Genomic DNA, 11643 nt, shown 5'->3' with positions numbered 1-11643 from the left:
GAAATCTCCACTTACATATTCCACAAAAAGAGTGTCTCAAATCTGCTCTGTGTAAAGGATCGTTCAAGTCTGTGAGTTGAATACACACAACACAAGGAAGTTACTGAGAATTCTTCTGTCTAGTATTATAGGAAGAAATCCCGTTTCCAAAGAAGTCCTCAAAGAGGTCAGAATATCCACTTGCAGACTTGACAAACAGAGCGTTTACAAACGGCTCTATGAAAAGAAAGGTTAAACTCTGTGAGTTGAACGCACACATCACAACGCAGTTTGTGGGAATGATACTGTCTAATTTTGAAACGAAGATACTTCTTTTTCTGCCATTGACCTTAAAGCGCTTGAAGTCTCCACTTGCAAATTGCAGAAAAAGAGTGTTTCAAATCTGCTCTGTCTAAAGGAACGTTCAACTCCGTGAGTTGAATGGACACAACAGAAGGAAGTTACTGGGAATTCCTCTGTCTAGCCTTACATGAAAAAAACCCGATTGCAACGAAGGCCTCAAAGAGGTCAATATATCCACGTGCAGACTTTACAAAAAGAGTGTTTCCAAACTGCTGAATGAAAAGAAAAGTTAAACTCTGTGAGTTGAACGCACACATCACAGAGCAGTTTCTGAGAATGATTCTGTCTGGTTTTTATACGAAGATATTTCCTTTTCTGCCTTTGGCCTCAAAGCACTTGAAGTCTCCACTTGAAATTCCACAAAAAGGGTGTTTCAAATCTGCTCTGTCTAAAGGAAGGTTCAAATCTGTCAGTTGAATACACACAACACAAAGAACTTATTAAGAATTCTTCCCTCTAGCATTATATGAAGAAATCCCGTTTCCAACGAAGGCATCAAAGAGGTCCAAATATGCACTTGTAGACTTTACAAACAGAGTGTTTCCAGAATGCTGTATGAAAAGAAAGGTTAAACTCTGTGAGTTAAACACACACATCACTACGCAGTTTCTGGGAATGATTTTGTCTTGTTTTTATAGGAAGATATTTCCTTTTCTACCATTGACCTCAAAGCGGCTGAATTCTCCACTTACAGATTCCACCAAAAGAGTGTCTCAAATCTGCTCTGTGTAAAGAATCATTCAACTCTGTGAGTTGAATGCACACAACACAAGGAAGTTACTGGGAATTCCTCTGTCTAGCCTTACATGAAAAAACCCTTTTCCAACGAAGGCCTCAAAGAGGTCAATATATCCACTTGTAGACTTTACAAACAGAGTGTTTGCAAAGTGCTGAATGAAAAGAAAAGTTAAACTCTGTGAGTTGAACGCACACATCACAGAGCAGTTTCTGAGAATGATTCTGTCGGGTTTTTATACGAAGATATTTCCTTTTCTGCCTTTGGCCTCAAAGCGCTTGAAGTTTCCACTTGCAAATTGCACAAAAAGAGTGTTTCGAATCTGCTCTGTCTAAAGGAAGGTTCAACTCTCTCAGTTCAATACCCACAACACAAGGAAGTTACTGAGATTTCTTCTTCTAGCCTTACATGAAAAAAACCCGTTTTCAACGAAGGCCTCAAAGAGGTCAAAATATCCAGTTGCAGACTTTACAAACAGAGTGTTTCCAAACTGCTGAATGAAAAGTTAAACTCTGTGAGTTGAACGCACACATCACAGAGCAGTTTTGAGAATGATTCTATCTAGTTTTTATAGGAAAATATTTCCTTTTCTGCTTTTGGCCTCAAAGCGACTGAAATCTCCACTTGCAAATTCCACAAAAAGAGTGTTTCAAATCTGCTCTGTGTAAAGGAAGGTTCAACTCTGTCAGTTGAATACACACAACACAAAGATGTTACTAAGAATTCTTCCCTCTTGCAGTATATGGAGAAATCCCGTTTCCAACGAAGGCATCTAAGAGGTCCAGATATCCACTTGCAGACTTTAGAAACAGGGTGTTTCCAGAATGCTGTATGAAAAGAAAGGTTAAACTCAGTGAGTTGAACGCACACATCACAAAGGAGTTTCTGAGAATCATTCTGTCTAGTTTTTATACGAAGATATTTCCTTTTCTACCATTGACCTCAAGGTGGCTGAAATCTCCACTTGCAAATTCCACAAAAAGAGTGTTTCAGATCTGCTCTGTGTAAAAGATGGTTCAACTCTGTGAGTTGAATACACACAACAGAAGGAAGTTACTGAGAATTCTTCTGTCTAGTATTATAGGACGAAATCCTGTTTCCAACGAAGTCCTCAAAGTGGTCAGAATATCCACCTGCAGACTTGACAAACAGAGTGCTTACAAACGGCTCTATGAAAAGAAAGGTTAAACTCTGTGAGTTGAATGCACACATCATAACGCAGTTTGTGGGAATGATACTGTCTAGTTTTGAAACGAAGGTATTTTCTTTTCTGCCATTGACCTTAAAGCGCTTGAAATCTCCACTTGCAAATTGCACAAAAAGAGTGTTTCAAATCTGCTCTGTCTAAAGGAACGTCCAACTCTGTGAGTTGAATGCACACAACACAAAGAAGTTACTGGGAATTCTTCTGTCTAGCCTTACATGAAAAAAACCCGTTTCCAAGGAAGGCCTCAAAGAGGTCAATATATCCACTTGCAGACTTTAGAAACAGAGCGTTTCCAAACTGCTGAATGAAAAGAAAAGTTAAACTCTGTGACTTGAACGCACACATCACAGAGCAGTTTCTGAGAATGATTATGTCTGGTTTTTATACGAGGATAATGCCTTTTCTGCCTTTGGCCTGAAAGGGCTTGAAGTCTCCACTTGGAAATTCCAGAAAAAGAGTGTTTCGAATCTGCTCTGTCTAAAGGAAGGTTCAACTGCATCAGTTGAATACACATAACACAAAGAGGTTACTAAGAATTCTTCCCTCTAGAATTATATGAAGAAATCCCGTTTCCAACGAAGGCATCTAAGAGCTCCAAATATCCACTTGTAGACATTACAAACAGAGTGTTTCCAGAATGCTGTATGAAAAGAAAGGTTAAAATCTGTGAGTTAAACACACACATCACTACGCAGTTTCTGGGAATGATTTTGTCTTGTTTTTATACGAAGATATTTCCTTTTCTACCATTGGCATCGAAGCGCTTGAAATCTCCACTTGCAAATTCCACAAAAAGAGTGTTTCAAATCTGCTCTGTCTAAAGGAAGGTTGAACTCTGTGAGTGGCATACACACAACACAAAGTAGTTACTGAGAAATCTTCTGTCTAGCATAATATGAAGAAATCCCGTTTCTAACGAAGGCCTCAAAGAGGTCCGAATATCCACTGGCAGACTTCACAAACAGAGTGTTTCCTAACTGCTCTATGAAAAGAAAGGTTAAACTCTGTGAGTTGAACGCACACATCACAAAGGAGTTTCTGAGAATCATTCTGTCTAGTTTTTATACGAAGATATTTCCTTTTCTACCATTGACCTCAAAGCGGCTGAAATCTCCACTTGCAAATTCCAGAAAAAGAGTGTTTCAAATCTGCTCTGTGTAAAGGATCGTTCAACTCTGTGACTTGAATACACACAACACAAGGAAGTTACTGAGAATTCTTCTGTCTAGCATAATATGAAGAAATCCCGTTTCCAACGAAGGCATCTAAGAGGTCTAAATATGCACTTGCAGACTTTACAAACAGAGTGTTTCCAGAATGTTTTATGAAAAGAAAGGTTAAACTCTGTGAGTTAAACACACACATCACTACACAGTTTCTGGGAATGATTTTGTCTTGTTTTTATAGGAAGATATTTCCTTTCCTACCATTGGCATTGAAGCGCTTGAAATCTCCACTTGCAAATTCCACAAAAAGAGTGTTTCAAATCTACTCTGTCTAAAGGAGGGTTGAACTCCGTTAGTTGGATACACACAACACAAAGTAGTTACTGAGAAATCTGTCTAGCATAATATGAAGAAATCCCGTTTCCAAGGAAGGCCTCAAAGAGGTCCAAATATCCACTGGCAGACTTCACAAACAGAGTGTTTCCTAACTGCTCTATGAAAAGAAAGGTTAAACTCTGTGAGTTGAACGCACACATCACAAAGGAGTTTCTGAGAATCATTCTGTCTAGTTTTTATACGAAGATATTTACTTTTCTACCATTGACCTCAAAGCGGCTGAAATCTCCACTTGCAAATTCCAGAAAAAGAGTGTTTCAAATCTGCTCTGTGTAAAGAATCATTCAACTCTGTGAGTTGAATGCACACAACACAAGGAAGTTACTGGGAATTCCTCTGTCTAGCCTTACATGAAAAAAACCCGTTTCCAACGAAGGTCTCAAAGAGGTCAATATATCCACTTGCAGACTTTACAAACAGAGTGTTTCCAAACTGCTCTATGAAAAGAAAAGTTAAACTCTGTGATTTGAACGCACACATCACAGAGAAGTTTCTGAGAATCATTCTGTGTAGTTTTTATACGAAGATATTTCCTTTTCTACCATTGACCTCAAAGTGGCTGAAATCTCCAGTTACGAATTCCACAAAGAGAGTGTCTCAAATCTTCTCTGTGTAAAGGATCGTTCAACTCTGTGAGTTGAATACACACAACACAAGGAAGTTACTGAGAATTCTTCTGTCTAGTATTATAGGAAGAAATCACGTTTCCAACGAGGTCCACAAAGAGGTCAGAATATCCACTTGCAGCCTTGACAAACAGAGCGCTTACAAACGGCTCTATGAAAAGAAAGGTTAAACTCTGTGAGTTGAACGCACACATCACAACGCAGTTTGTGGGAATGATTCTGTCTAGTTTTGAAGCAAAGACATTTCCTTTTCTGCCATTTGCCTTAAAGCGCTTGAAATCTCCACTTGCAAATTGCACAAAAAGAGTGTTTCAAATCTGCTCTGTCTAAAGGAAGGTTCAACTCTTTCTGTTGAATACACACAACTCAAAGAATTTACTAAGAATTCTTCTCTCTAGCATTATATTAAGAAATCTCCTTTCCAACGAAGGCATCTAATAGGTCCAAATATCCAATTGCAGACTTTAGAAACTGAGTGTTTCCAGAATGCTGTATGAAAAGAAAGGTTAATCTCTGTGAGTTAAACCCACACATCACTACGCAGTTACTGGGAATGATTTTGTCTTGCTATTATACGAAGATATTTCCTTTTCTACCTTTGGCATCCAAGTTTCTGAGAATGCTTCTGTCTAGTTTTTATGGGAAGAGATTTCCTATCCACAATAGGCCTCAAAGCGCTCCAAATGTCCACTTCCAGATACTACAAAAAGCGTGTTTCAAACCTGCTCTATAAAAGGGAATGTTCAACTCTGAGACTTGAATGGAAACATCACAAAGACGTTTCTCAGAAGGCTTACGTCTACTTTTTATATCAAGAGAATTCGGTTTCCAAAGAAATCCTCAAAGCTGTCCAAATATCCACTTGCAGATTTTACAAAAAGAGTGTCTGAAAACTGCTCTATCAAAACAAAGTTTCAACACTGTTAGTTGAGTACAGACATCCCAAACAAGTTTCTGAGAATCCTTCTGTCTAGATTTTATGGGAAGATATTTCCTTTTTCACCATAGGCCTCAAAGCGCTCCAAATGTCCACTTCCAGATACTATAAAAAGACTGTTTCAAACCTGCTCTGTGAAAGGGAATGTTTAACCCTGTGACTTGAATGCAAACGTCATAAAGAAGTTTCTGAGGATGCTTCTTCTTTCTATATAGAGATATTCCCGTTTCCAACGAAATCCTCAAAGCAATCCAAGTATCCACTTGCAGATTCCACAAAAAGCGTGTTTCGAATCTGCTGTATCAAAAGAAAGGTTCAACTCTATTAGTTGAGTACACTCATGAGGAACAAGTTTCTGAGAATGCTTCTGTCTAGTTTTTATGGGAAGAAGTCTTATTTATCACCATAGGCCACAAGCCCTCCAAATGCCCACTTTCAGATACCACCAAAAGATTGTTTAAAACCTGCTCTATGAAAGGGATTGTTAAACCCTGTGACTTGAATGCAAACATCACAAATCAGTTTCTGAGAATACTTCTGTCGAGATTTTATATGAAGCTATTCCCGTTTCCAACGAAATCCTCATCGCTATCCAAATACCCACTTGCAGATTCTTCTAAAAGAGAGTTTGAAAACTGCTTCATTAAAAGAAAGCTTCAACACTGTTAGTTGATTACACACATGACAAACAAGTTTCTGAGAATGTTTCTCTCTAGTTTTTATGGGAAGATATTTCCTTTTTCACCGTAGGCCTCAAAGCGCTCCAAATGTCCATTTCCAGATACAACAAAAAGAGTGTTTCAAACCTGCTCCACGGAAGGGAATGTTCAACTCTGGGACTTGAATGCGTACATCACAAAAGAAGTTTCTGAAAATGCTTCTGTCTGCTTTTTATATAAAGATATTCCCGTTTCCTCCGAAATCCTCAAAGCTATCCAAATATCCACTTGCAGATCCTACAAAAAGAGTGTTTCAAAACTGCTCTCTCAAAAGAAAGGGCGAACTCTGTTAGTTGAGTACACACATCACAAACAAGTTTCTGAGAATGCTTCTGTCTACTTTTTATGGGAAGAGATTTCCTTTTTCACCATAGGCCTCAAAGCCTTCGGAATGTCCACTTCCAGATACTAGAAAAAGACTGTTTCAAACCTGCTCTGTAAAAGGGAATGCTCAACTCTGTGAGTTGAAAGCAAACATCACAAAGAAGTTTCTGAGAATGCTTCTTCTTTTCATATCGAGATAATCCCGTTTCCAACGAAATCCTCAAAGCAATCCAAATATCCACTTGCAGATTCTATAACAAGAGTGTTTCAAAACTGCTCTATCAAAAGAAAGGTTCAACTCTGTTAGTTGAGTACACACATCAAAAACAGGTTTCTGATAATGCTTCTGTCTAGTTTTTATGGGAAGAGATTTCCTTTTTCACCATAGGCCACAAAGCACTACAAATGTCCCTTTCCAGATTCTACAAAAAGAGTGTTTCATACCTGCTCTATGAAAGGGAATGTTCAACTCTGTGACTTGAATGCAATCATCATAAAGAAGTTTCTGAGAATGCATCTGTCTAGATTATATATGAGGATATTCCCGTTTCCAACGAAATCCTCTAAGCTATGCAAATATCCACTTGCAGATTCTAGAAACAGAGTGTTTCCGATCTGCTCTATCAAGAGAAAGGTTCAACTCTGTTAGTTGAGTAGACACATGACAAGCAAGTTTCTGAGAATGCTTCTGTCTTGTTTTTATGGGAAGAGATTTCCTTTTTCACCATAGGCCTCAAAGCGCTCCAAATGTCCACTTCCAGATTCTACAGAAAGAGTGTTTCATACCTGCTCTATGAAAGGGAAAGTTCAACTCCGTGACTTGAATGCAATCATGATAAAGAAGTTTCTGAGAATGCATCTGTCTAGATTTTATATGATGATATTCCCGTTTCCAACGAAATTCTCAAAGCTATACAAATATCCACTTGCAGATTCTACAAACAGTGTGTTTCTGGTCTGCTCTATCAAGAGAAAGGTTCAACTCTGTTAGTTGAGTAGACACATGACAAACAAGTTTTTGAGAATGCTTCTGTCTAGTTTTTATGGGAAGAGATTTCCTATCCACAATAGGCCTCAAAGCGCTCCAAATGTCCACTTCCAGATACTACAAAAAGCGTGTTTCAAATCTGCTCTATGAAAGGGAATGTTCAACTCTGAGACTTGAATGGAAACATCACAAAGACGTTTCTCAGAAGGCTTACGTCTACTTTTTATATGAAGAGAATCCCGTTTCCAACGAAATCCTCAAAGCTGTCCAAATATCCACTTGCAGAGTTTACAAAAAGAGTGTGTGAAAGCTGCTCTATCAAAACAAACTTTCAACACTGTTAGTTGAGTACAGACATCCCAAATAAGTTTCTGAGAATCCTTCTGTCTAGATTTTATGGGAAGATATTTCCTTTTTCACCATAGGCCTCAAAGCGCTCCAAATGTCCACTTCCAGATACTATAAAAAGACTGTTTCAAACCTGCTCTGTGAAAGGGAATGTTCAACTCTGTGACTTGAATGCAAACGTCATAAAGAAGTTTCTGAGGATGCTTCTTCTTTCTATATAGAGATATTCCCGTTTCCAACGAAATCCTCAAAGCAATCCAAGTATCCACTTGCAGATTCCACAAAAAGCGTGTTTCGAATCTGCTCTATCAAAAGAAAGGTTCAACTCTATTAGTTCAGTACACACATGAGGAACAAGTTTCTGAGAATGCTTCAGTCTGGTTTTCATAGGATGAAGTTTTATTTATCACCATAGGCCACAAGCGCTCCAAATGCCCACTTCCAGATACCACAAAAAGAGTGTTTCAAACCTGCTCTATGAAAGGGATTGTTAAACTCTGTGACTTGAATGCAAACATCACAAAGTAGTTTCTGAGAATACTTCTGTCGAGATTTTATATGAAGCTATTCCCGTTTCCAACGAAATCCTCAACGCTATCCAAATATCCACTTGCAGATTCTTCTAAAAGAGAGTTTGAAAACTGCTTCAGGTAGCTCTATAGTTTTCCTCGCATTCTTGAATCGGGAAATGGCCGCTGTGTGGTTGCAACGGAGATAAATTCCCGTAACCGCGATTCGGCGTGTCAGGAATTCGAATTTAGAGTTTAATTTCTCAGAGCATTCTCTCCAGGAAGAATTTTTACAGTATCTCAAAGACTTCACTTGACTTCTTGATCCTGCATAAACCCAAGGAGAAAAGAAATGGGTCGCTCCAATTCTAGATCACATTCTTCAAGGTCAAAGTCTAGATCACAGTCTAGTTCTCGATCAAGATCAAGATCTCATTCTAGAAAGAAGCGATACAGGTCTCGTTCCAGAACATATTCAAGGTCTCGTAGTAGAGATCGTATGTATTCTAGAGATTATCGTCGTGATTATAGAAATAATAGAGCAATGAGACGACCTTATGGGTACAGAGGAAGGGGTAGAGGGTATTATCAAGGAGGAGGAGGTAGATATCATCGAGGTGGTTATAGACCTGTCTGGAATAGAAGGCACTCTAGGAGTCCTAGACGAGGTCGTTCACGTTCCAGGAGTCCAAAAAGAAGATCCGTTTCTTCTCAAAGATCCAGAAGCAGATCTCGCCGGTCATATAGATCTTCTAGGTCTCCAAGATCATCCTCTTCTCGTTCTTCATCCCCATATAGCAAATCTCCTGTTTCTAAAAGACGAGGGTCTCAGGAAAAACAAACCAAAAAAGCTGAAGGGGAACTCCAAGAAGAGAGTCCGTTGAAAAGTAAATCACAGGAGGAACCGAAAGATACATTTGAACATGACTCATCTGAGTCTATCGATGAATTTAATAAGTCGTCAGCCACATGCGGTGATATTTGGCCTGGCCTTTCAGCTTATGATATAGTCCTAGATCACCCCATAGTCCTTCACCTATTGCTACACCACCTAGTCAGAGTTCATCTTGCTCTGATGCTCCCATGCTCAGTACAGTTCACTCTGCAAAAAATACTCCTTCTCAGCATTCACATTCCATTCAGCATAGTCCTGAAAGGTCTGGGTCTGGTTCTGTTGGAAATGGATCTAGTCGATACAGTCCTTCTCAGAATAGTCCAATTCATCACATCCCTTCACGAAGAAGTCCTGCAAAGACAATCGCACCACAGAATGCTCCAAGAGATGAGTCTAGGGGCCGTTCCTCGTTTTATCCTGATGGTGGAGATCAGGAAACTGCAAAGACTGGGAAGTTCTTAAAAAGGTTCACAGATGAAGAGTCTAGAGTATTCCTGCTTGATAGGGGTAATACCAGGGATAAAGAGGCTTCAAAAGAGAAAGGATCAGAGAAAGGGAGGGCAGAGGGAGAATGGGAAGATCAGGAAGCTCTAGATTACTTCAGTGATAAAGAGTCTGGAAAACAAAAGTTTAATGATTCAGAAGGGGATGACACAGAGGAGACAGAGGATTATAGACAGTTCAGGAAGTCAGTCCTCGCAGATCAGGGTAAAAGTTTTGCTACTGCATCTCACCGGAATACTGAGGAGGAAGGACTCAAGTACAAGTCCAAAGTTTCACTGAAAGGCAATAGAGAAAGTGATGGATTTAGAGAAGAAAAAAATGATAAACATAAAGAGACTGGATATGTGGTGGAAAGGCCTAGCACTACAAAAGATAAGCACAAAGAAGAAGACAAAAATTCTGAAAGAATAACAGTAAAGAAAGAAACTCAGTCACCTGAGCAGGTAAAGTCTGAAAAGCTCAAAGACCTCTTTGATTACAGTCCCCCTCTACACAAGAATCTGGATGCACGAGAAAAGTCTACCTTCAGAGAGGAAAGCCCACTTAGGATCAAAATGATAGCGAGTGATTCTCACCGTCCTGAAGTCAAACTCAAAATGGCACCCGTTCCTCTTGATGATTCTAACAGACCTGCTTCCTTGACTAAAGACAGGCTGCTTGCTAGTACACTTGTCCATTCTGTCAAGAAGGAGCAAGAATTCCGATCCATCTTTGACCACATTAAGTTGCCACAGGCCAGCAAAAGCACTTCAGAGTCATTTATTCAACACATTGTGTCCTTGGTTCATCATGTTAAAGAGCAATACTTCAAGTCAGCTGCAATGACCCTAAGCGAGCGGTTCACTTCGTATCAGAAAGCCACTGAAGAACATAGTACTCGGCAAAAGAGCCCTGAAATACACAGGAGAATTGACATCTCACCAAGTACCCTGAGGAAGGATACCCGTTTAGCAGGGGAAGAGAGAGTTTTTAAAGAAGAAAATCAAAAGGGAGATAAAAAATTAAGGTGTGACTCTGCTGACCTTCGACATGACATTGATCACCGTAGAAAAGAAAGAAGTAAAGAACGGGGAGATTCCAAGGGCTCCAGGGAATCCAGGGGATCAAGAAAGCAGGAAAAAACTCCGAAAGATTACAAGGAATACAAATCTTACAAAGATGACAGTAAACATAAAAGAGAGCAAGATCATTCTCTATCTTCATCCTCTTCAGCATCACCTTCTTCTCCCAGTTCTCGAGAAGAAAAGGAGAGTAAGAAGGAAAGAGAAGAAGAATTTAAAACTCACCATGAAATGAAAGAATACTCAGGCTTTGCAGGAGTTAGCCGACCACGAGGAACCTTTCATGACGACAGAGATGATGGTGTGGATTATTGGGCCAAAAGAGGAAGAGGTCGTGGTACTTTTCAACGTGGCAGAGGGCGCTTTAACTTCAAAAAATCAGGTAGCAGTCCTAAATGGAATCATGACAAATACCAAGGGGATGGGATTGTTGAAGATGAAGAAGAGACCATGGAAAATAATGAAGAAAAGAAGGACAGATGCAAGGAAGAAAAGGAATAATAAATATGAAGTAAGATTACAACAGAGCAGAACTTGCACCCACCGTTTTTTTTTTTACCTGATTTTTGTTTTCAAATAAGAATGTAAGCATTTTACTTAAATTTTACTGTTTGCAAGTAGTCTATAGAAATTTTGTTGTAAGTCTTCAAATATCTTGATAAATAGTAGACTGTATGTTGAAAATTGTACTGAAATAAAGTAGAAAATTGTTACGTAAAAAAAAAAAGAAAACTGCTTCATTAAAAGAAAGCTTCAACACTGTTAGTTGATTACACACTTGACAAACAAGTTTCTGAGAATGCTTCTGTCTAGTTTTTATGTGAAGATGTTTCCTTTTTCACCGTAGGCCTCAAAGCGCTCCAAATGTCCATTTCCAGATACAAC

At 39.1% G+C, this 11643-nt stretch overlaps 1 pseudogene; it reads left to right on the top strand.

Annotated features, from left to right (window-relative positions):
• Positions 1-8466: 8466 nt before the first annotated feature.
• On the top strand, positions 8467-11387 carry BCLAF1P2 (BCL2 associated transcription factor 1 pseudogene 2; annotated as a pseudogene).
• The last annotated feature ends 256 nt before the right edge of the window (positions 11388-11643 follow it).

This window comes from Homo sapiens, chromosome 16 (genome assembly GCF_000001405.40).
Source record: "Homo sapiens chromosome 16, GRCh38.p14 Primary Assembly".
In the NCBI taxonomy this organism is placed as follows: domain Eukaryota; kingdom Metazoa; phylum Chordata; class Mammalia; order Primates; family Hominidae; genus Homo; species Homo sapiens.
Note: the sequence above shows the minus strand (reverse complement) of the source record. Positions and strands in the feature narration are given on the sequence as shown.